At 42.9% G+C, this 26261-nt stretch overlaps 1 long non-coding RNA gene and 1 pseudogene across 1 annotated transcript, besides 1 other annotated feature; one reads left to right on the forward strand and one right to left on the reverse strand.

Annotated features, from left to right (window-relative positions):
- Positions 4173-5501, reverse strand: SOX30P1 (SOX30 pseudogene 1; annotated as a pseudogene).
- Positions 8628-8922: an enhancer, noted in NCBI's record as "tiled region #5199; HepG2 Activating non-DNase unmatched - State 18:Pol2, and K562 Activating DNase matched - State 9:DNaseU". NCBI's record gives its function as "activates a minimal TATA promoter and a strong SV40 promoter by Sharpr-MPRA in HepG2 and K562 cells {active_cell/tissue: HepG2 | K562}" and the evidence as "EXISTENCE:reporter gene assay evidence [ECO:0000049][PMID:27701403]".
- LOC105377676 (uncharacterized) lies at positions 10463-25372 on the forward strand. The gene is made up of 3 exons (XR_941129.3): positions 10463-10550; positions 13046-13173; positions 25244-25372. It is a non-coding gene; the product is annotated as an uncharacterized LOC105377676 (long non-coding RNA).
- Positions 25373-26261: the final 889 nt, after the last annotated feature.

A 26261-nucleotide genomic window follows, 5' to 3' on the forward strand; every position in this document is an offset into this window, starting at 1 on the left:
TGGCAACAGAGTGAGAACCTGTTGCCAAGGATGCAGTGCAGTGGTGCCATCATAGCTTACTGCAGCTTCAACCTCCTTGGGCTCAAGTGATCTTCCCACCTCAGTCTCCCAAGTAGCTGGGACTACAGGTGTGCACCACCACTCTAGGCTATTTTTTTTTTTTTTAACTTTTTGTAGAGAAGGAGTCTCCCTATGTTGCCCAGGTGAAGGGGGCCAGCCCCTCCACACCTGTAGGTATTTCTCATGAGGTGGAACGAGAGACTGAGAAAAGAAATAAGACACAGAGACAAAGTACAGAGAAAGAGCAGTGGCCTAGGGGTCCGGCGCTCAGCAAACGGAGGACCCACGCCGGCACTGGTCTCTGAGTTTCCTCAGTATTTATTGATTACTATTTTCACTATCTTGGCAAGGGGAATGCGGCAGGAGGACAGGGTGATAGTGGGGAGAAGGTCAGCAGGAAAACATATGAGCAAAGGAATCTGTGTCACAAATAAGTTCAAGGGAAGGTACTATGCCTGGATGTGCACCTAGGCCAGATTTATGCTTCTCTCCACCCAAATATCTCAGTGTAGCAAAGAGTAACAGAGCAGAATTGCTGCCAGCATATCTCGCCTCCAGCCACAGGGCGGTTTTCTCCTATCTGAGAATAGAACGAATGTACGATTGGGTTTTACACCGAGACATTCCGTTCCCAGGGACATGCAGGAGACACAGGCCTTCCTCTTATACTAATCCTCCTCAGCACAGACTCTATGGGTGTTGGGCTGGGGGACGGTCAGGTCTTTCCCTTCCCATGAGGCCATATCTCAGGCTGTCTTAGCGGGGGAAAATCTTGGACAATACCCAGGCTTTCTGGGGCAGAGGTCCCTGCAGCTTTCCGCAGTGCATTGTGCCCCTGGTTAATCGAGAATAGAGAATGGTGATGACTTTTACCAAGCAACCTGCCTGTAAACATATTGTTAACAAGGCACATCCTGCACAGTCCTAGATCCCTTAAACCTTGATCCCATACAGCATATGTTTCTATGAGCACAGGGTTGGGGCTAAAGTTACAGATTAACAGCATCTCAAGGCAAAACAATGTTCTTAGTACAGATCAAAATGGAGTTTCTTACGTCTTCCCTTTCTACATAGACACAGTAACAGTCTGATCTCTCTTTCTTTTCCCTACACCCAGGCTGGTCTCAAATTCCTAGGCTCAAGTGATCCTCCCACCTCAGCCACCCAAAGTGCTGGGATTACAGAAATGAGCCACTGCGCTTGGCCTCTAAGGGCATTTGGATTTAACATTCCACGATAGGAAAGCAGGGCTGCATGCTTCAAGGTCAAGAGTTACCTGCCCCTGGGATTTGTAACGAGATCACCATTTCAACAGAGTTCATTCTGAGAAATCCTCAGGGCCAACATGTCCCTGTTTATCTGACAGTGTATTATAAACTTCACAGAAACTTCTCAAACCAAATTTAATTGACTTTGGAAAGAAAGTGATTCCTCACTTTTGGAGTGGAAAAGTTAAAGGTTCATGAAATCAAACAGAGGCCTAGAATCCCTGTTCCAAGCCAGGCTATTAGGCGATGGGGCCATTTCACTCTCCCCTACTATAGGACTGCATTCAAACCTCAACATGACCTTCTTCCTGGGTTGTCTGAGTAAAAGGCTGCTCTACTCTGAGTCCAAAAGAACAGAGTGAACTGTTTAGGAAAAGGATGTGGACCTCTCAAAAGCCCTCAACCTTAACTTCTCCCACTTAGGATATGAAATCCTGGTCACACCATGTCCAATTCTGAATATTTAAAAAGAGATTTAGGCCAGGCGCGGTGGCTCAAGCCTGTAATCCCAGCACTTTGAGAGGCTGAGGTTGGCGGATCACGAGGTCAGGAGATTGAGACCATCCTGGCTAACACGGTGAAACCCCGTCTCTACTAAAAATACAAAAAATGAGCTGGGCATGGTGGCGGGCGCCTGTAGTCCCAGCTACTCGGGAGGCTGAGGCAGGAGAATAGCGTGAACCCAGGAGGCAGAGCTTGCAGTGAGCAGAGATAGTGCCACTGCACTCCAGCGTGGGGGACAGAGCCAGACTCTGTCTCAAAAAAAAAAAAAAAAAAGATTTAAAAAGGAGCAAGGAGCAATGGCTGGGCCTAGTGGCTCAGGCCTGTAATCCCAGCACATTCAGAGGCCAAGGCAGAAGGATCACTTGAGCCCAGGAGCTCGAGACGAGTCTGGCCAACATAGCAAAACCCCATCTCTATTTTGTATAAAAATCTAAAAGAAAAAAAGTAATTAAAACTTTGAAAAGAAGGAGTGAAAATTATGTTTTCTCAACTATGGAAAAAAATGCTCAGGAGGAAGGAAATATATCACAGTACTAAGATGTTGACTAGGTTAGGAGGATGGGGATATTGTGGTTGGACTATATTTGTTTTCCCTTTTCTACAAATCAGCATGTAAAATAAATTTCTGACCAGGCGTGGTGGGTCACGCCTATAATCCCAGCGCTTTGGAAGGCCAAGGCAGGCAGAGCACTTGAGCCCACGAATTTGAGACCGGTCTGGGCAACATGGTGAGACCCTGTCTCTACAAAAAATGTAAAAAGATATAAAAAATAATAATTAGCTAAGCATGGTGGCCAGTGCCTTTAAGTTCCAGCTACTCAGGAGGCTGAGGTGGGAGGATCACTTGAGCCTGAGAGGTTGAGGCTGCGGTGGGCGGTGATCACACTACAGGATTCTAGCCAGGACAAGAGAGTGAGACCATCTCTAAATCAATAAATAAATAAATAACTTTCAGCCAGGCACGGTGACTCGTGCCTGTAATCCTAGCACTTTGGGAGGCAGAGGCGGGCAGATCACCTGATGTCAGGACTTCAAGACTAGCCTGGCTAACATGGCGAAACCCTGTCTCTACTAAAAATACAAAATTAGCCAGGCATGGTGGCATGTGCCTGTAATCCCAGCCACACGGGAGGCTGAGGCGGGAGAATCGCTTGAACCCAGGAGGCAGAGGTTGCAGTAAGCCAAGATTGTGCCATTGCACTCCAGCCTGGGCAAAAAGAGAGAAACTCCGTCTCAAAAAATAAATGAATAAATAAATAAGTAAATAAATAAATTTCTTGGGGTTCTAGTTCTAAGTAAGATAGAGTAAGCATAGTCTGTCTCTCCCACTGGCTGAAACTAAAAGCCCTGGACAGGATGCATGAAGCAGCCATCTGAGGACTCTGAAATATTAACAAGGCTGGTGCGGTTGCTCATGCCTGTAATCCCAGCACTTCGGGAGGCTGAAGCAGGAGGATCACTTGAGGCCAGAGGTTTGAGACCAGCCTGGGGAACAAAGTGAGACTCTGTCTCTAGAAAAAAATAATGTTTTTTGGCCAGGTGCAGTGGCTCACACCTGAAATCCCAGCACTTTGGGAGGCCGAGGCAGGCAGATCAGGAGGTCAGGAGATTGAGACCATCCTGGCCAACACAGTGAAACTCCGTCTCTACTAAAAATACAAAAATTAGCTGGGCTTGGAGGCACGTGCCTGTAATCCCAGCTACTCGGAAGGCTGAAGCAGGAGAATCGCTTGAATCAGGGAGTTGGAGGTTGCAGTGAGCCGAGCGCCGCTCTAGCCTGGCGACGGAGTGAGACTCCGTCTCAAGAAAAAAAAAAAAAGAAAAAATAATTTTTTTTGGTAGCAGCAGTATCAGTAGCGACAAGAAAAGCACCTAAAACTCTGACAGAGCAGAATCCTTTTATCTGACCAAAGGATCTGCGTTCTGAAAAGTGGAAGAGGAAAATCTCGATTGCCTTTTTTCTCTCTTCATCCTGTCACTTGGCCCAAGAGTACCCGTCGCCATGAAGCCACATAACAGAGCAGGGAGACTAAAGGCCCCAATTTCTAGCTAGAGGATCAGGAAAATGTCTATCAAGAATACTTCTATTTTTGTGCGCAAAAATTAGTTCTATCTAAATAGTAGGCCTTAAAATTGATTTTTAAAAAAATACTTGAGAATTTTGAAGGCGTTCGTGTATTTTACTGCTATATGTACAAGTCGATCAGAAGTGATACCTGTGCAGGCTACCCTGAAAAGAATCAGTTCCATTACTTCACTTTTGTAGTTTAGACTTGGGAACTGCTGATATACCCTATGGGGCAACACAGGCGCAGTTTTGAAAACCAGACTCCCCTGCTGTCTAATACCTGCATCTGAGGGCAGCACAGTGAGGGGACATCTTTGGTTTCAATTTTTACAGAAGGCTCCAGTAGGGACTGCATTTTAATAGGCACTGGTGTCAGGGGGACCTTGGTCAATCTTATCAGCTCTGAAGGCGGAGCTTCCTGAAACTGGATCCGGGCCCCAGGGGAAGCAGTGTGGAGAGTCCAGAGGGATCCTGAGGTCTTGCTGGTGCGGCCCAAAGGCACCGGACGTTGGGGCCAAGATGACCTCCGCGCTGCCACGAGCCGGGCCATTGGACGCGGGCTCCGCGCCGAGCCTGCAGTCCTCGAGGAGTCTCTCGGGTTCCTCCGTTTTGATCACACCTTCTCGGATGGCCGCCGAGCTTTTGCCTTCCCCGCCCTGCATCGCGTCCCTCATGACCTCTTCCGCCTCCAGCTTGCCCTTCTCGTTCCCTCGGAAGTAGTCGAGGGCCGGCCCGAGGCCTTCCAACTTGACCGCCCTGGAGGCTCTACGACCGGTCTCCACGGCCCCCCGAGGCCTCACCGATGCGTCCAGGCAAGCCCCTAGCTCCTACTTCTTGGCCTTGACGTGCAGCGCCCGGGGCTGCACCGGGTGTAACTCGGGCCTACAGGGGGCGCCCTCGGAAGAGGCGGGCGGCAGCAGGAGCCGCAGGTCGGGCCTGAACTGCCGCTGGGAGAGGAAGCGGCGCCCTTGCCAGGAACGTGGGGCTGTGGTAGCAGCAACACCTGCTCCAGCTTCACCTCCAGCAGCTGCTGCGCCGCACACGGCACCAAACCCTCCCTACACGAGGAGGCCACGGTCGCAATGGCGGCCGCGCACAGCATGGGCGGCGACGGAGGGGTCTTCACGGCCGCTGCCCAAAAGGAGGTGCCCTCGACCGGCAGCAGGGACGGAGCGGGACTCAAAGGGTGCGGCTGAGGCGGCGGCTCCAGCCTAGCTCTCTCCATGGAGGTTGGGGGACGCCCCGGCCCGGATTGTGAGCTCAGCCGTTTGTTGGCGACCTTCCCCCTCCCCCTTTCGGTTAAGATCCTTGCAAGGCCTTTGCTACCCAGAACCCTACGTGGTTCAAAACGCAGCTCTATGTCTCGGCGTCACCCAATCACAAGCGACCGATACCCCCATCCGGGCTAATCACAGGCGGGTTTTGTGGCTCTTCCCAGCCCATGCTCTCGCCTCTCGCCTCGTGCTGAGTCCTCAAATCACCCGTGATGGCGGGAGCCTCGAGACGGGTTGCCAGTTTTCGCTCTGACTTTCCCTCTCTTGTGGCGTTCTCTCCCTGCCGTTGTCTTTAGTCATCCTTTCCCCGCAGGGAGCTGTGACAATGGCGTTGTCCAAGAAACGTTGTGCTTCCAGTCCGCTGACCTCCAGGGAATAAAGTCTTGGGTCTCAAGACTCGCACGGCCTTGTGCACGGGCTTTGTGCGGCCTGAGTAATCTGTCGGCCCTGAGTATCACCAGGGCTTTTGAATCTTTGCCAAGGGAGCATGGGGAAGGTTTTGCAACTTATCAATAACCCATTAGCTGATCTTGCTGGGAAGAGTCTTCGACTTTGTGCGGTTCTTGTGCTAGTTAAGGTTTCAATTAATCGCCAGGCCCTGTGGCCCTACTTCCAAAATATTATACATCCCAAATTCATCCACTCCTTTGGGTCTCTACTGCCATTACCCTGTTCCAGGCTCCCACCATCATTCACCTGGATACTACCGAGGCCCTGTAAATAATCTCCCTGTTTGTCAGCCTTGCCCCACTACACTCCAGCTATCTTTTGAAAATACAAATCTAAGGTTGTCACACTTTTCCTAAAGCTTTCTTTCCATGGCTGCCCACTGATGTGAGAAAAGTCTAAAATCCTTGGCAAAGCCTTAAAATCCCCAAATGGCTTGGGATCTAACCTACTACTACTACTACTACTGCTGCTAGGTTGGTGCAAACATAATTGTGGTTTTTGCCATTAAACAGTTACCACTCTAACCCTGAGTCTTTGGGTTTCAGCCACATTGGCCCCATCATCATTCTCTTTCTACTGAAGGGTCTTTAAACATGCTCAGCGTGCTACTCTTTCCTTTGTCTCCTTAATTCCTCCTACACATTTTTCAATGCAGCTCAACTGGGACTTCTTCAGAGAAGCTTTTTTTTTTTTTTTTTTTTTTTTGAGACGGAGTCTCGCTCTGTCGCCCAGGCTGGAGTGCAGTGGCGCGATCTCGGCTCACTGCAAGCTCCGCCTCCCGGGTTCACGCCATTCTCCTGCCTCAGCCTCCCGAGTAGCTGGGACTACAGGCGCCCGCCACCACGCCCGGCTAATTTTTTGTATTTTTAGTAGAGGCGGGGTTTCACTGTGTTAGCCAGGATGGTCTCGATCTCCTGACCTCATGATCCGCCCGCCTCTGCCTCCCAAAGTGCTGGGATTACAGGCGTGAGCCACCGCGCCCGGCCATTCAGAGAAGCTTTTACTGACTCTGAAAATCAGATCAAATCTTGGTCTACTTATACCTCTGTCACTTCGTTTGCTTAACACAATTTGTAATTAGAATTTTTAATGTGTTGATTCCACTGCCTCTCCCACTTGACTATAAAGTCCTTGAAGGCAGAACTGTTTGTGTTTTGCCCATCACTGAATCCGCAATGCAGACCACTGAGCCTGGCATGTAGTACTCAATAAATACTTGTTGAATAAATAAATGAATAGCGACTGTGATAGGGTAATAATAAAACAGTAATAATCACTACCTGTGTTAAGGGCTTACTCTTACGCTGGACACTCTTCCAAATCTTTTCCATATTTATGCTTCTCCTTTTACTAGGATTGTGTTTATTTCCATTAAACATCACCAAGAAAAACAAAAAGGAATCCTGTATTAACATTTGCTGAATTTCTAAATGACATTCTGGCCAAAAGCTATAGTTTATCTTGACATAGATGATTTTTGCAGTCAAGACAAGTTATCACTCAAAGAAGACCAACTCCAATTCATTGTCTAATCCTGTGGTATCAAATGTGGTCAACAGGAGTTCTTATACCTGGCAGACAGACAAGGGCAATGATTTTTAAACTTTTTTTTAATCTCAAAAACTCTTTATATCCATAAAAACTACTGAAGATCCCCAAAGAGCTTTTGTTCATTTGGATTTTGTCTATCAATATTTACTATGTTATAAATAAAAACTGAAATTTTAAAAATAGCTATCAACTAATTTAAAACAATAATAAAACCATTATGTGGTAACACATTTTTATGGGGGGATAAAAACGGTATTTTCCCCCTACATTACACTCACAAGAGAACGAAGTGAAAAGAGCAAATATTGCATTAGGATTATTATGAAAATAGTTTTAACCTAGCCGACTCTCTAAGAGTGTCCATCCCCATACCCTGCTTTGAGAACCACGGTACTAAGGTTTAAATGGGAGAGTCAACTGTGTGCATGAGCAAAAGCTAATAAAAGAGGCAGACAAATAAATCAAGCTGTCAGAGGTGTGTGAACCACAGCAACTCCATCTTGAGTAGGTGCTGGGTAAAATGAGGCTGAAATCTACTGGGCTGCACTCTCAGATGGTTAAGGTATTCTAAGTCACAGGATGAGAGGGGGCTGGCACAAAATACAGGTCATAAAGACCTTGCTGACAAAACGGATTGCAATAAAGAAGCCAGCTAAAACCCACCAAAACCAAGATGGCAACCAGAATGACCTCTTGTCATCCTCACTGCTACACTCCCACCAGTGCCATTGAGAGGTGATAGTGTGCTGGCAGTCCTCACAGCCCTCGCTCGCTCTCGGCGCCTCCTCTGCCTGGGCTCCCACTTTGGCGGCACTTGAGGAGCCCTTCAGCCCACCGCTGCACTGTGGGAGCCCCTTTCTGGGCTGGCCAAGACGGGAGCCGGCTCCCTCAGCTTGCATGGAGGTGTGGAGGGAGAGGCGCAAGCGGGAAGCGGGGCTGCACGCGCGCTTGCGGGCCAGCTGGAGTTCCAGGTGGGCGTGGGCTTGGCAGGCCCCTCACTGGGAGCAGCCGGCCGGCCCTGCTGGCCCTGGGCAATGAGGGGCTTAGCACCCAGGCCAGCGTCTGCGGAGGGTGTACTGGGTCCCCCAGCAGTGCCAGCCCACAGGCGCTGTGCTCGATTTCTCGCCGGGCCTTAGCTGCCTTCCCGCAGGGCAGGGCTGGGGACCTGCAGCCCGCCATGCCTGAGGCTCCCACCCACTCCGTGGGATCCTGTGCGGCCCCAGCCTCCCTGATGAGCGCCGCCCCCTGCTCCACGGCGCCCAGTCCCATCGACCACCCAAGGGCTGAGGAGTGCAGGCGCACCACGCGGGACTGGCAGGCAGCTCCACCTGCAGCCCCAGTGTGGCATCCACTGGGTGAAGCCAGCTGGGCTCCTGAGTCTGGTGGGGACTTGGAGAACCTTTATGTCTAGCTCAGGGATTGTAAATACACCAATTGGCACTCTGTATCTAGCTCAAGGTTTGTAAACACACCAATCAGCACCCTGCATCTAGCTCAGGGTTTGTGAATGCACCAGTTGACACTCTGTATCTAGCTAATCTGGTGGTGAAGTGGAGAACTTTTGTGTCTAGCTCAGGGGTTGTAAACGCACCAATCAGTGCCCTGTCAAAACAGACCACTGAGCTCTACCAATCAGCAGGATGTGGGTGGGGCCAGATAAGAGAATAAACGCAGGCTGCCTGAGCCAGCAGTGGCAACCTGCTGGGGTCCCCTTCCACACTGTGGAAGCTTTGTTCTTTCGATCTTTGCAATAAATCTTGCTACTGCTCACTCTTTGGGTCCACACTGCCTTTATGAGCTGTAACACTCACCTCGAAGGTCTGCAGCTTCACTCCTGAAGCCAGCGAGACCACGAGCCCACCGGGAGGAATGAACAACTCCAGACGCGCCGCCTTAAGAGCTGTAACACTTACTGGGAAGGTCTGCAGCTTCACTCCTGAGCCAGCAAGACCACGAATCCACCAGAAGGAAGAAACTCCGAACACATCCGAACATTAGAAGGAACAAACTCCGGACACGCCGCCTTTAAGAACTGTAACACTCACCGCGAGGGTCCGTGGCTTCATTCTTGAAGTCAGTGAGACCAAGAACCCACCAATTCTGGACACACCATGACAGTTTACAGATTTCATGGCAATGTCAGGAAGTTACCCTATATGGTCTAAAAAGGAAATAACCATAAAAATGGGCAACCAGCAGCCCTTGGGGCTGCTCTGTCTATGGAGTAGCCATTATTTTATTCCTTTACTTTCTTAATAAACTTGCTTTCACTTTAGGGACTCGCCCTGAATTCTTTCTTGTGGGAGATCCAAGGACCCTCTTTTGGGGTCTGGATCTGGACCCCTTTCCTGTAACATCTTTCTGGTGACCCAGATGGGAATTTAGTGTGGAAACCCTGGGTAAGTGGTGGGGTACTGTAACATCTTTCTGTTGACACAGAATGGACTATACTGTGGAAAACCCCAACCCAAAGGCTAACTTTGGGTATGTGGTAGGGTCTAGTAACATCTTTCTGGTAAACCCTGAAGGCATGATACTGAGGAGACTCCCATCCCAAAGGAAATAGACTGCAGCACTGATTGGACGACTTTGGGCAAGTGGTGGGGTACCCAGATAAAGAGTGGGATTGGGTCAGAGGCCAAACTTAGAAGAATTAGAGCCTCTCCTAAGACAGAGTGGGTTAGAGGCCCCTCTTTATAAAAGGCAAGGACACTTGACCATCCTTGGGTTAGAGGCCTGACTTAGGAGGGTTAGACTCCCTTCTAAGATTTCGGGTGTTAGAGGCCCCTTTCGTTAAAGTCCCTTTTGGCTAAGAACAGGTTTGGCACTACGGGATGTTAACTGCTATTCTCTTTGAAATACTCTGCCTTGTACTCTTTGCTGACAGCTGTAGGTGACAGGGTTAGGCATGTACAAGATCGTGGGACACAGGGAGCTTTTTCTTCCCCTAAAGGGGACACTTGAGAGCTGATGGGACTGCTGGAAAAGATCCCTTCAGTACCGAGAAGAGGCCGCCTGAACTTTTCAGTTGCTGCAATGGGTGGGTCTTTCTCTGGCTTCCATGAGTGCCTCACCTTCCCCACCTTGCCTCAAGCAATGCTTTCCTCTCTCTCTCTCTCTCTCTCTGTGCAAACTGGTTGTAGGAATGGTAAAAATCACTATTTCCTGCAAAGTAATGGAAGAAAGGATTTGTGAGGCTAGTCTTAAGCTGTAGTCAATCTGGTGCATTTTGTGTGTTGTTCTGTATTGTTCTGTCATAAACAGGGGTACCTTAGGATAGAACATGGGCTTAGGACACCTATAAGCCTGCTGTTCAAGATGGCCTAGCAAACTGGTCAGTTACGAACTTTGCTGCAGGTCCCTGAAAAAAACTGGGTGAGGTTTCCCTCTTGTCTTGTATGTCCTTGGGAGCTTGACCTTGTAACCTAACCATGTGGCTGTGCTTTCTCTTTTCACAGTGGTGGCCCAGGTTCAGGGCTCAATTCATGGCTTAGGGAAAGAGTTGTTTATCATCTAACTGTCTATACATTTTTTTATTTTTGAGGTGGAGTTTCGCTCTTGTTGCCCAGGCTGGAGTGCAATGGTGCAATCTTGGCTCACTGCAATCTCTGCCTCCCGGGTTCAAGTGATTCTCCTGCCTCAGCCTCCCAAGTAGCTGGGATTACAGGCGCCTACCACCATGCCCAGCTCATTTTTGTATTTTTAGTAGAGGTGGAATTTCACTGTATTGGCCAGGCTGGTCTGAAACTCCTGACCTCAGGTGACCCACCCGCCTCGGCCTCCCAAAGTGCTGGGATTACAGGCATGAGCCACCGCACCCAGACTTGTCTATGTATTTATATGTATTATGTGTGTGATGTTTACATATGAAAGAGCTTTGATTAATTGGCTTAAAAATAATTAAGTGCACCAGACATGGTAGCCAACACCTGTAATCCCAGCACTTTGGGAGGATGAGGTGGGTGGATCACGAGTTCAGGAGTTTGAGACCAGCCTGGACAACATGGTGAAACCCTGTCTCTACTAAAAATACAAAAAATTAGCCGGGTGTGGTGGCACACACTGTAATCTCAGCTACTCAGGAGGCTAAGGCAGGAGAATCGCTTGAACCCAGGAGGCAGAGGTTGCAGTGAGCACAGATTGTGCCATTGCACTCCAACATGGGTGACAGAGCAAGACTCCATCTAAAAAGAAAAAATTATAATAATTAAGTGCTTAAATCAAATATTTTGTGAGAAAAGTAAAAAGTGTAATGCCCTTTATTTAGTTCATGTGACTTAAGTAACCTTAGGGAAATAAATACAGTTTTAAAGATTATTAGTAAAATAAAAATACCTTTAAAAATGTAAACATTTGTCCTAAATTATGCAGGCCAGATATTAGGTTTGCTAAATGCTTTAAGGTCATAAACTGCTTCTTCGACTTTTGAAAATTGTTCAATTTACCTACCTTGAAGACATTAAATTCCAGATAAGGTCTAGGGATATGTGGTGTTAGCCATACCCCCTAGCAATGCTAGAAAAAGTCAGACCTTGTCTTCACTTCTGTTGAGGTCCTAGGCTCCACACCTAGTACATAGTTAAAATTGCTTACTAACCAGGGTTTTCACCAAAAGTCATAATTGCTGAAAGTTATCATTGTAACATGTAATTGAGACTATTGAAGAAGTAGTTCTACATGTAAGGTGTGTAGGGAAAGTGAAATGTGTTTTTTTGGTAAAAGATTATAAGAAGTCATGTGACTAAATTTTCTTGCCTAGATTAAAGGGTTAAAGGATTGTTTTAAGTTAGGTAGAATAAAGCTGAAGTTTTAAGCAAGTTATGGAAAGTTGTGGAAAATTAATTGTAAGAAATTCTGTGTGTGTACATATTGGCTAAAGTTAAAGGGGTATTCAATTTTTCTGCAAATAAAACATTGGAATAAAAGCACAACAGGTTGTGGGTTTTTTGTTGTTGTTGTAGTTGTAGCTTGTTTTTCTTTTTTTTGAGACAGAATCTGGCTCTGTCGCCAGGCTGGAGTGCAGTGGTGCGATCTTGGCTCACTGCAACCTCCTGGGTTCAAGCGATTCTTCTGCCTCAGCCTCCCAAGTAGCTGGGACTACAGGCTCGCACCACCATGCCCAGCTAATTTTTTTGTATTTTTAGTAGAGACGGGGTTTCACCATGTTCTTAGAGCAAAAATCTGCTTATGATCTGCTCTTTAACGAAAATTTGTAAAGGGTTATAAAAGGTTTGTGAAAATTTTACTTAGTTGTCAAACTGATTAAGATTGAATACATTTGCCTATAAGGTTTTATAAAGAATTGGGTTTGTCATCAGTAATGCTCTAATGCAACAGTGACATTTGGCTTATTTGATACAAAAATCATTCAGGAAGCATTATCAAATGTAAAATGGTGTTTGGATTTCTTTGGGCTGTATTTGTGTAAATGTGTTATTGGTGTGTCTTCCACAATTATAAAAAACCTCATAATTCTGATATGACTTAGTGTATGTTATGAATAATTATAATTGTTACATAAAATTATTATATGCCACAGAAGGAACCAAATTTCCTTATCGATTGTGACTTTAATAGTGGCTGTCCTAAGACTTTTTATCATCCACACACAATTGTTGTCTTCTTTTAATCCTCTTCAAAAGATGGTTTGTTATCAACTATAGAACTCTAACAGGGGTTCTTAAATGCAGGTTTCTGATAACTTTGAAAATTTTGACAGTAAAATAAAACAATTTCAGAACTCTCATGGAGACCTGAAATGTTCGTGAATATCAAGCAGAACAGGAGTTAACTGAATTGACTGAACCAATAGAGGACTAATCTTTTTAACTTTGCTTAAAATGCTGCTGATCCTTTGTTTTGTTTTTCAGAGTCAAAGAAACTTTTCTTTTGAGCTGCTTGCAGCTTGTAGCAATTGAGTAAAGTATATTGCTGTGAATAACATTTGAGGCATATTTGTTTCTCTCTACCTAATTTCTCCAGAATTTGGAAATTATTTGTGAGTATTCTTACATTACGGCAATATAGTTATTTGCATAAGTGCAATAAGAATCTGTTTTCTTTTGCAACGGGACAAATTGGAAACACTGATTATTTTACCAACGATTTGACTGGAATGGGGTGTTTTCCTTTAAGGAATCAAACTTGACTTGTAAAGCCAATAAAAGCCCCTGGGGGAATTGGCCTCAGACCTTGTCTACAGCAGTCCCTGTACAGTGTTTCTGACCTATGGTAAGTACAAAAATGTCACTTTCTGACAGGTCCAGGATCCCCAAATTATCTTGGGACCACAAGAGGAGAGGAATTTACTCAACTCATAGGTATTTGAGAGTACAAACCCATGGGCTCAGCTCTAAAAAAGTCTTATCTAAGATACCTTCTATGGAACAGAGTTCCATCAAAGCCAATTTAAAAAGAGATTATGTAAAAAATAATTATTTTTGCTGCACTTTATACAAATAATCAGACCAAGCATAATAAAGCAAATCAGTCTTACCGTGATTTGTCTTTAGTAAAAATGGGAAACTGGAGACAGAACTTACGTTTCAAAAACTGGCTGGGTGCCTTGGCTTATGCCTGTAATCCCAGCACTTGGGGGGCACAGGGCAGATCACTTGAGGTCAGGAGTTCAAGACCAGGCTGGCTAACATTGTGAAACCCTGTCTCTACCAAAAATACAAAAATTAGCCAGGCCTTATGGTGGGCACCTGTAATCCCATATACTTGGGAGGCTGAGGCAGGAGAATCACTTGAACTTGGGAGGCAGAGGTTGCAGTGAGCCAAGATTGTGCCACTGCACTTCAGGCTAGGTGACACAGCGAGATTCTTTCTCAAAAAAAAAAAAAAAAAAAAAAAAGACAGCAGGCCAGTTCTCTATGAAATGTGCATACTGTGCCTTCACAGATCCAGGTAGTGTTAAGCTGTCCCTAGGTAGACACCTCTTTATCAGACAGGCAGTTAGTTGGCTAGTCTCAACTTTCGTGTATTTCTGGTTTGTATTTGATATAGAACTTTGGGCCTCAGAGATGTCAGAGGACATAGTTCAGGCTCTTGAGCTTATATTGAAGTGGGGAGCATCCCTTTGTGAGGGAGAAAGGTGGAAATTGTAAAGCACTTGAGCACCTCCCCAACGAAAATTTTCTCTTTCACCGACTCTTTGAGAACCTTGAGGGGCAGGGCATGGTGGCTCACACCTGTAATCCCAGCACTTTGGGAGGCCAAGGCAGGTGGATCACTTGAGGCCCAGAGTTTGAGACCAGCTTGACCAACATGATGAAACCACACCTCTACTAAAAAAAAAAGTACAAAAATTAGCCAGGTGTGGTGGCATGTGCCTGTAATCCCAGCTACTTGGGAGGCTGAGGCAGAATTGCTTGAACCCAGGAGGCGGAGGTGCAGTGAGCTAGGATTGCATCTTTGCACTCCAGCCTGGGCAACAAGAGGCAAAACTCCATCTGGGGGCAAAAAAAAAACAGAAAAAGAAAAAAGAAAACATTGAGGAAGGTGTTGGGCTGAGGTGCAAAACCATTTTTTTGGTACTTTGAAAATCTCTGCATGGCTGAGTGCGGTGTCTCATGTCTGTAATCCCAACCCTTTGGGAGGCTGAGGTAGGCAATTCACCCCAGGTCAGGAGTTCGAGACCAGCCTGGCCAACATGGCAAAACCCCATCTCTACTAAAAATACGAAAATTAGCTGCGTATGGTGGCACACTCCTGTTATCCCAGCTACCTGGGAGACTAAGGCAGGAGAGTTGCTCGAGCCCAAGAGGTGGAGGTTGTAGTGAGCCAAGATAGTGCCACTGCACTCCAGCCTGGATGACAGAGTGAGACTCCGTCTCAGGAAAAAAAAAAAAAATTAGCCAGGTGTGGTGGCCTGTGTGTGTAATCCTAACTATTCAGGAGGCTGAGGCTGGAGAATCACTTGAGTCCAGGAAGCAGTGGTTTCAGTGAGCTGAAGTTGTGCCATTGCACTCCAGCCTGGGCATCAGAGTGAGACCCTGTCTCAAAAAAATAAATAAAATAAAATGCCCTGACCCCTGAGGAGAGATCCACTTAGAATTTTATTTTTGGTTTACAATATCATATTTTTTTCCTTTTCTTCCAGATGGGGTCTTAGTGTGTTGCCCAGGGTGAATTAAAAGCATGAGCCACCATGCCCAGCTATATACCTATCTTTATGTCAATACCACAGTCTTGATTACTGTAGCTTTATGGTAAATTTTGAAATTTTGAAATCGTGTAAGTCGTTGAACTTTGTTGTTTTACAAAATCATATTGGCTATTCTTGGTCCTTTGGATTCAAACAATAAATTTTAGGATCCTCTTACCAATTTTTCTTTCTTTAGAAAAGCAAACCCTAATGACACTTAGATAGGAATTGCATTGAATCTATGGATCAATTTTGGGAAAACTGACACCTTGAAGATACTGAACTTTCCTATTCACAAACATGGAACATACCTTGATTTATTTAGGTCTTAATTTCCTTTGACAATGTTTTGTAATTTTCAGTGTACTGTCCTGTACTTCTTTCATTAACTTTATTTCTGAATGCTTTATTCTCTTTATACTATCGTGAATGTAATTGTTTTCTAAATTTCCTTTTTAGTTAGTTGTATGTTTATTTTTGTATTTTTATTTTCTTACCTTATTGCACTGGCTGGAACCTTCAGTCCAAGGTTAAATAGAAGTGGTGAGAGTGTACATCCTTTTGCCTTGTACCCAATCTCAGGAAGAAAGCATTCAGTCATTCACCTTTAAGCATGTTGTTAAACACAGGTTTATGTAGCTGCCTTTTATCAAAGTAAGAAAGTTTCCTTCTATTCCTAGTTTATTGAGAATTCTATGGTGAATAGTAGTTCAGTTTTATCAAATGCTTTGTCTGTGTCTATTGAGACGATTATATGGCTTTTTCTTTTAAGGGTCAGCAACATTTTCCAGAAAAGGCTATATAGTAAATATTTTTGGTTTGAGCCATATGAGCTCTGTTGTAACCAATCAACTCTGCTTTTGTAGCAGAAAGCAATCATAAACAATTTGTAAATGAAGGGGCTTGGCTTTGTTCCAGTAAAATTGTATTTGCAAAAAGAAAAGTCATGCCAAATTTGGCCTAGGGACTATAGTTTGCTGACCACTGCTTTATTCTATTAATATGTGTATTACACTAATTGATATTCAGATGTTAAGCTAAAGTGTCTTCCTGTAATAAACTGACGGCACTTGGTAATAGTGTGTACATTACTGGATCTAACCTGCTGTTATTTAAAGAATTTTAGCATTTACATTCATGGGCAGTATTGGTCTATAGTTTCCTTGTGATATCTCTGTCTGTGGCTTCCAGTATCAGGGTAAAATGAACTGTAAGGTGTCCCCTTCTATTCTATTTTTGAAAAGATTTGCATTAGATTGGTATTACTAATTATTTAGATATTGATACCATTCCAAGTAAAACCATCCAGGCCTAGATTTTTCTTTGTAGAAAATTTTAAAATAATTTAGTAAATATTTTAACATTTTTTGCTGATATATATCTATGTAAATTTTATAATTTCTTTTTGAGTCTACTTTGATCATTTCTGTTTATGAATTTGCCCCTTTCATCTAAGGTGACAAATTGTTGGCATAAGGTTGTTCAAAATATTCCTTTATAAGCCGTTTAATTTCCATAGGGTTCAGAATGCTTTCTCTTTTATTCCCAGTTTTGGTAATTTCTGTCTTCTCTCTTTTTTTCTTGGTCATTTGGCTAAAATGTTATCAATTTCATAGATCTTTTCAAGGAATCAACTGTAAGTTTCACTACTTTTCTCTATAGTTTTGCAGTTTTCTTTTTGTTGATTTATGCTATGGTCTTTAGTTCTTCATTCTACTTTGTCTCTTCTTTTTGTGGTTTCTTAAAATGGAAACTTAATTAATTTTTTTAAATTTATCAGAGACTTCCTTTCTAATATTTATTTATTTATTTGAGACAGAATCTTGCTCTGTGGCCCAGGCTGGAGTGCAGTGGCATGATCTCTGCTCACTGCAGCCTTCACCTACCATGTACCAGCGATTCTCCTGCCTCAGCCTCCCAAGTAGCTGGAATTACAGGCGCATGCCACCACGTCTGGATAATTTTTGTATTTTTAGTAGAGACCATGTTTCACCATATTGGCCAGGCTGGTCTCATACTCCTGACCTCATGATCTGCTCGCCTCGGCCTCCCAAAGTGCTGGGATTACAGGTGTAAGCCACCACGCCCGACCAGATTTTTGCTCTCTTCTCTCATCCTTCATAGAAGGGCATCAATAATAATTGTTAAATAACATAAGGTATATATTTCAGTAAAGGCTTCCTTGGTGATTTACATAAGTTATAGCAGGAGTTATTATTAATTTGTTTCTGTAGTTAAGATGGAAACCTATGTGCAATAATCATTTTCATCTGATTCCTTGTAGTGGGTTGAGTAACATCCCCAGAAATTCATACCCAGAAGATTAGAATGTGACCTTATTTGAAATACGGTCTCTGGAGATGTAATTATTTAAGAATCCAGATGGGATCATACTGGATTTGAGTGGACACTAAAGCCAATGATTGGTGTCCTTATAAGAAGAAGAGAGGATACAGCAGAAAAGATCATGTAAAGACAGAAGCAGAGATTGGAGTGATGTATCTACTATGAGCCAAAGAATGCTAAGAATTGCCAGGAGCCACCAGAAGTTAGGAAAGAGGCATTGAAGCCTCTTTTCCTCAGAGCCTCCAGAAAGAGCCAACCTGTCTACACCTTGATTTCAAACTGCTGGTCTCCAGAACTCTGGGAGAGTGAATTTCTGTCATTTTAAGCTACCCAGTTTCCGGTACTTTGTTACAGAAGCTCTAGGAAACTAATACATTCTGTTTTCTTCTTTCTCTTTCTTAATAGAAATGTGCAGCAAAGAATTCTGGGATTAGTTCTTTCTTAAGACTGCACAATCTCAATTACTAAGGCCGGGAAGAGAGTTTCCATTCACTGATTTATTCATTTATTCATTCAGTTAATGTTTACTGAACCCCTAGAATGTGTCAAGCCTTGTATTAGGCTCTAAGAATACAACAGTGACTAAGACAAATGAGGCTTCTTTTCTTATACAACTTACGTTTTTACAAAGAAATCTTAAATTCATATGAAAACTGTCCAAAGTCACAACAACATCTCCTAAGAAGGCTCTGAATGTGATCTTATTAAATCAGCGTTATGGACTGAATGTTTCCTCCCAAAATTCATATGCTGAAGCCCTAACCCCCAGTGTGGCTGTATTTGGAGATGAGACCTCTAAGGAAATAATTAAGGTTAAAATGAGATCATAAGGATAGGGCCCTGATAGGATTCCCGTCTTTATAAAATGAAACTCCAGCTCTCCTCCCTGCAACCCCAATATGCACCAAGGAAAGGCCATGTGAAGACACTGTGAGAAGGCAGACATCCAAAAACCAGGAAGGGAGCCCTCTTTAGAAACCAATCCTGCCAGACCTTCAGTGAAAAAATTAATTTCTGTTGTTTAAACCACCCCGCCTGCAGTATTTCAGTATAGCAGCCCATGCAGATTAATACAAATAGGAACCAATTCAGAGTAATTGGTGGAAAAGGGATATTTTGTATCCTTAAAACATTATGAAATCAATTTAATTAAGCTTATATTTAAGAAATTTGGGGTTATAATTGCCACTACGTGCTAATTCTTAGAACAAACGAGGTATTAATCAATTCTAATTTGTGTGTGTGTGTGGTGGGGAAGGGCTAATTCTCTCTAAGGCTAATTTTCGAGGGTAGAGGGACTTTTTTTTTCCCCTCTTTTTGGACTTCTGGTGCAGAGAATTGATTTAATCATTTTCAACAGTTTCAACAGAGCATTTTCTTTGGTCTGCACAAGTTCTTGTACTAGTTTCTTATTGTTGTTGTGGCAAATTACCAAAATGTAGTGGCTTAGAATACCACAAATGTATTATCTTACAGTTCTGAAGGTGAGACGTTCGAAATGGTCCTTACGGATCTAAAACCAAGGTATCCATAAGACAACTTACCCTCTAGAGGCTCGAGGGAAAAATCTGTTCCTTGACTTTTAGTTTCTAGAGGCTGCGTGGCTCATGGAACTTTTGCTTCTTCAAAGCCAACAATTTCATCACTCTGACCCCTGTTTCCATCCCTGCATTTCCTGCTTTGGCCCATCTATTTCCATTTTCCACCTTTTAAGGCCATTGTGACTGTATTAGACCCACCAAGATAATCCACAATAGCCCTCCTATCTTAAAATCCTTATCTTAATCCCAGCTGTGGAATCCCTTTTGCTAGTAAGGTAATGTATTCACACCTTCCTAGCATTAGTATATGGATATCTTTGGATGAACCGTTGTTGTGCTTTACAATCCCCATTCCTGTTTTATTATTTTATGATTTTTCCCTCCATTTACCATTTCTGTTCCTATTCTAATTCTACTCTCCCTCACCCTCATGCTCCAGGCACCCGCTTTAATATGCTTAATATGTGTCAGTTACATATGTATCACGGAGTGAGTACAGTATTTGGTGGATGTATGTATTTGTGTTTTAATTTACCCATGTCCTCTTAGATGTATACAATCTGTTTCTTATCTTTTCCACATATTTTTTTTTCTTATCTGTATTTTTCTACAGTGGGTATGTTCATTACTTTTTTTAGTTTATTTATTTATTTTATTTATTTTTTTGTTTTTTGAGATAGAGTCTCACTCTGTGGCCCAGGCTGGAGTACAGTGGTGCGATCTCGGCTCACTGCAACCTCTGCCTCCCGGGTTCAAGCGTTCTCCCGCCTCAGCCTCCTGAGTAGCTGGGATTATAGGAGCCCTCTACCAGGCCCACCTAATTTTTTATATTTTTAGTAGAGACTGGGTTTTGCCATGTTGGCCAGGCTGGTCTCAAACTCTTGACCTCAGGTGATCCACCCGCCTCGGCCTCCCAAAGTGCTGGGATTACACACATAAGCCACCACAGCAGGCCTAGCTTTGTTTTTAATTGTACAAGTTAGTGGTTTTTTGTATGTTCACAGCATTGTCAAACGATCACCACTATCTGATTCCAGAGCATTTCACGATCCCAAGAGGAAACCTCAAATCCATTAGTAGTCCTCATTCCTCTTTACTCCTCACCCCACCTGCGTCCCTAGAAATCACTAATCTGCTTTCTTTTTTTATTTTTATTTTTTTGATACAGATGCTCACTCTGTCACACAGGCTGGAGTGCAGTGGCATAATCTCAGCTCACTGCAACCTCCGCCTCCTGGGCTCAAGCGATTCTTCTGCTTCATCCTCCCAAGTAGTGCTTTCTGTCTTTATGAAGCTCAATTTTTACTCCTCCATTCCTCTAATAATGGATTCCTAGGGTGCCTCCAGTGAGCTCTTACTAGAAGCAGCATTGTCAAGGACATGTGCCCTATAAACTTGTTTGACAGTTTCTCAGGAGATCTACCTATGAGTGGGATTGCTGTGTCATGGGCATGCACATACACTTTCACTAAAGGACAGATTCACTCCTACATGGCTGTTCCTCTTTAGACTCCTAATAGCAGCACAAGAGGATTTGCTTTTTCCCACTCCCATACCAGCACTTGGTTTAACTCAGTAAGTTTTGCCAATCTTATTGGTACATAGAATTGTCTGGTGTTTTTTTTTAAATAATTTGCACTTCTCCGATGATTGGATAGGTTGAGCACCTCTTCATAAACTTAGTTTTTTAGGCTGGGTGCTGCTGCCCATGCCTGTAATCCCAGCACTTTGAGAGGCCATGGTGGGTGGATTCCTTGAAGTCGGAGTTCGAGACCAGGCTGGACAAGATGGTGAAATTCCAGCTATACAACAAATACCAAAAATAAATAAATAACTAAATAAATAAATAAAAGAAAAACAGCCGGGCATGGTGGCGAGCCTGTAGTCCCAGCTACTCGGGAGGCTGAGGTGGGAGGATCCCTTGAGCCCAGGAAGCGGAAGTTGCAGTGAGCCAAAATCAAGCCAATGCACTACAGCCTGAGTAACAGTGAGACCCTGTCTCAAAACAAAAATGATAAAATAAAACAAACTTAGTCTTTTAGCTTTCCCTATCTGTGATGTTTACTTACATTCAAATCACTTACAATTTAATTTTTGTGTTTCCTGCTTTTTACATGTTGATTTGCAAGAGTCTATTTATTATAGATATTCAAACATTGCAAATATCTTCTTGTCTGTGACCCATCTGTTAACGTGTTTCTGATATCCTCTGTTGTACAGAAATTCTTAATGTGGTCAAATTCATCACTTTTTCACCTTATATTTTGTGCTTTTAGGATCTTGTTTAAGAAATCCTTTCCCACGCCAAGTTCTCAAAGACATTCTTTTATATTTTTTCTATTACTTCTATAATTTTACCTTTTATATTTAGATCTTTAATCTATATGCTGTTTTCCTTTACATATGATACAAAATTGGGATCCAAGTTCATTTTATATAGCGATCTAGTTATCCTATCAGCCTCTAACAATCCATGTTTTCTCTGCTACGTTAACCTGCCTGTTTAGAATACCTCAGGTACCCTATAAAGAGGTCACATGGAGAGGACCGCAGCCTCTGCCAACAGCCATCAGAGTGATCATATTGGACGCAGATACTCTAGCCCCAGTCATACCTGCAGGTCATGGAAGCCCCAATGGACATCTTAATTACAACCTTATGAGAGACCCTGAGCCAAAACCACCTAGCTAAGCTACTCCTGAATTCCTGAATTACAGAAACTGTATGAGATGATAAATGTTTATTTTATTTTATTGTCATTCTTTTTTATTTATTTTTTGAGACAGAGTAGTGCTGTGTTGCCCAGGCTGGAGTGCAATGGCGTGATCTTGGTTGCAGTGAACCAGGTTCAAGTGATTCTCCTGCCTCAGCCTCCCAAGTAGCTGCGATTACAGGCACCCACCACCACACATGCTAATTTTTATATTTTTATTGGAGACAGAGTTTCACCATGTTGGCCAGACTGGTCTCGAACTCCTGATCTCAGATGATCCGCCCACTTTGGACTCCCAAAGTGCTGGGATTACAGGTGTGAGCCACCATGCCAAGGCTATTTTATTTTATTTTATTTTATTGGGAGTCAGACTCACACTCTGTCACCCAGGCTGGTGTGCAGTGGCGCAATCTCAGCTCACTGCAACCTCTGCCTCCTGGGTTCAAGTGATTCTCCTGCCTCAGCCTCCCAAGTAGGTGGGATTATAGGCTTGCACCACCACACCTGGCTAATTTTTGTATTTCTAGTAGAGACAAGGTTTCACCATGTTGGCCAGGCTGGTCTTGAACTCCTGACCTCAGGTGATCCACCCGCCTTGGCCTCCCAAAGTGCTGTGATTGCAGGTATGAGCTACCTACCGTGCCCAGCCAATAAATGTTTATTTTTGTTTTTATTTTTATTTTTTGTTTTTTTGAGATGGAGTCTCACTCTGTTGCCCAAGCTGGAGTGCAATGGCACAATCTCAGCTCACTGCAACCTCCGCCTCCCAGGTTCAAGCAATTCTCCTGCCTCAGTCTCCAGAGTAGCTGGGACTACAAGCACGTGCCACCACACCTGGCTAATTTTTGTATTTTTGGTAGAGACAGTGTTTCACCATGTTGGCCAGGCTGGTCTTGAACTCCTGACCTCAGGTAATCCACCCCCTTCAGCCTCCCAAAGTGCTGGGATTATAGGTGTGAGCCACCGTGCCTGGCCTATTTTTGTTTTAAGCTACCAACTTTTGGGATAATTTGTTACACAAAAAACAATAATGAATACAGTTTTAATACTGAATAAAGAGCAAGTGGAGCTCTTGTCTCTATCACATGGTGTCCTACAGTTTTATTACAGTGCTACCAGAAAAATCAAAGTAAGTTATAGTTTTTCAGTGTTGGCATTCCTTAAAATAAGAGAATAACATAGTTAATAAAAGAGAAGGATGAGAAGAGGGAGAAAGGTATCTGGAAAAGGAAAAGATATTTGAGGCCCTATACAGTGTTTCTATTATGTCTTTTGCTATCTCTTTTGATCAAAAGAACATTTAATCAGCTAGCAAAAATGTGGTTCTTGTATTTATATTATCTTGGATCTCCTAAGCATGTCTAATCACTGTTGGCCAAAGCAAGGAGACTAGGCATTAAATGGCTCTGAGTTGGCTGGAGGCCATAGAAAGGAATATGTCAGATTTGGAAATGACTATGAAGGAAATGCAAGTGTTGAACGGAATTTGTACTAAACACTTTTTAAGGTCCACTCAGCCCTGATTTCTGAGATATTTGTCCTTTACCTGATAAACTCTTACCTATCCTTTAAGGCCCCAGCTTAAATGTCACATTCTCTAAAATGCTATCTCTGGTTATCCTAGGCAGAGTATAACATTTCTTTATGCTTTCACAGCACTTTCTATATACCTCTGTTTTGGCACTCATATTGGAAGAGGGGTAGGGCCATTGTTGCCTACCTGCTAGCCATCCTTCCACACTTTTCATTGCTAACAGAACTCTGATTTTGTTTAGAAGGCATTGTGCCAAGTACTGTTCCCTTTTGTCAGAAATTGCTATGGAGGTGGGCATGTGACTCAAGTTTTGTCCACTGAGACATAAGGAGCAGTCTGTTAGATGCTTCTGGTGAAAAAAAAAATTTCCCTAATAAAAGAGAGAGCAGATATAAAAAGAGCACTCTTTTCTGTTTATCTCTTTCCTTTCTGTTTTAAATGCTGTAATGTGAGAACTTGCTGGTTGCTACCACAGCAGCCATTTTGTGATCATGAGGACAGATCTCTCTGATATGCTATGGATAGTGAAACAGAAGAACTAAAAGTGTTCCAATTTTTAATGACATCACTGAGCCCCTGAAGAGGTCCTGAAATTAACAAACTAAATTTATCTATATGATATTAAATTTCCATAGTGTTTAAGATTTCATTAGTGAGGTTTTCAGTTATTTGCAGGTAAAAACATCCAAATTTACGGAAAAAGGAACAGAAATAACATTCCTAAAACACTTATATCATGCTTTAATTTTTCGTTAATGTAATTTGCTACCTCAATTGTTAGAGCAAGGACCTTGTCTTAATCAATTCCTAGCACTGTCTACAGTCTCTGATTTGAAAATGATTGCTTAAGAAGCGTTTGTGTGGAATGTGAATTTTGTTGCAATGGAAAGTAAAATTTTTTTAAAAAGCGTTTGTGGAATGAATGAATCAATTAACAGATGAATGAATAAATGAATCTATAGATCAATATGATGGTGTTATTGAGAGGTAGAACAGAAAAATGAGTTAAGCACATAAGCTCTTGCATTGCATTCCTGGCTTCCTATCCTGGCTCCCCCACTATGTGACCTTGGGTAAGTCACTTAATCCCTATAAGACTGTTTCCCCAGTTATAAAATGTGAATAACAGTGCATACTTAAAATAATTTTTGTGAGGTTATATTTTATGTAAAGGCTTAACATATAATTTGGAACTGAATAAACACTCAATATGTTGACCATTATTTTTGGAGAATGAAGAACAGCCAGTAATTATTCTAAATTGTCAAACCTGGTTGACCGGGAAAATTAAAATAAATCTGACCAAAACTGAATGTGTAGATGGAAAAGATGATGTTCAACTTCAGACATGTAAAATACAGCCTAAATATAGTTAGAGAGTGAAGACATGTGGGTTATGCTTATATAGATATATACATAACGTTACTCTATCTAGGTTCTGATTTATACTACATTTACTCATCCTGAGATTCTATATTTACAGAATTGTTCTTTACAAATATAGTAACTTAAAAACGAAGGTAACTTTTGGATTATATCCATAATGAGTCAAATCCAATAGGCCAGGAGTTGCTGAAATTTTGCCTAAAAATGTGTACACAGGCAGTAATCTTCAAAAACAAAATATCATGGATAAAAAAGATTTCTTTTTCAACCTAAGAAAGCAGGTTGAAAAAAGGAAGGAGAAAAAGGTTTCCTTAAATAGTGTAAATATGTCAGTGATGTGATGTTGCTCAGTCTTTGAAATTCTTTGAATTCTCTTCCTAATTTAACGTTTCTTCACAGACTACTATGCAACAGAAGAAAACTATGCCTGAAATATCTACAGGAGAAATTCTGTGTATGAGTGTTTAAGGAACCTCTTTTGTTACTCAAGTAACCAGAATGAGTAATAAAAATCAAGCATGAGTAGTAGTATTTGTCATGCACTTTTTTTTCTATTGCTAAAATGAAAGCTATCATTGAACTCAGATTAGGAAATAATTCTTCCCAAGCAAAAAAAAAATCATGAATTATTTATTAGATTTTCTTCTACCGTTAATTTTTAATGCATGGGAATGACTAATAGTATAAGCCAAATCAGAAAGTCAATTCACATTCCAGATTCCATTTTTAGATGGGCATGAAGAATTCAAATTCTTTTATTCGATAAGCCAGCCCAGTCACTGGAAAAAATTAAACTGAAATATCTGCCTGCATCAATCTCTCTACCAACGTATGACCCTTTCAGGACCAAATGATTATGGGCCACTCTATATGCAGCCCTATAACTCATAGCTATGTAGTGAAATTTACACTTCAGTGAATATGATTCTGTCTCTGTATCAATAATAATATCTTTATATTATATCAAGATGTCTTAATACCTTGCCTTTTCTAAAAAGTATTAGAGTTCTTTGTGATATAGGGCCTCAAAACATTTTATGGACACCAAATTCTATTCTATTCTTTTCTTTCTCTTTCTTTCTTTCTCTTTCTTTTTCCTTTCTTTTCTTCTGTCTTTTTTTCTTCTTTATCCACCTCTTCCTTTTAATCGGTATTGCATCTGAAATAACAAAATAAATTCTCAGTAGCCTAGCCACCTCCAGGTTTTCTTCACCTTTGTTTATGTTTCAAACCACAGCCGGATTCTTTTCTTTTCTCTCTTTTTTTTGCTGGGGGGGACAGAGTTTCCCTCTGTCGCCCAGGCTGCAGTGCAGTGGTGCAATCTCGGCTCACTGCAGCCTCCGCCTCCCAGGTTCAAGCGATTCTCTGCCTCAGCCTCCCGAGTAGTTGGGATTAGAGGCATGTGCCACCACACCCA

The sequence above is a fragment of the Homo sapiens genome, chromosome 5 (genome assembly GCF_000001405.40).
Source record: "Homo sapiens chromosome 5, GRCh38.p14 Primary Assembly".
NCBI lineage: Eukaryota > Metazoa > Chordata > Mammalia > Primates > Hominidae > Homo > Homo sapiens.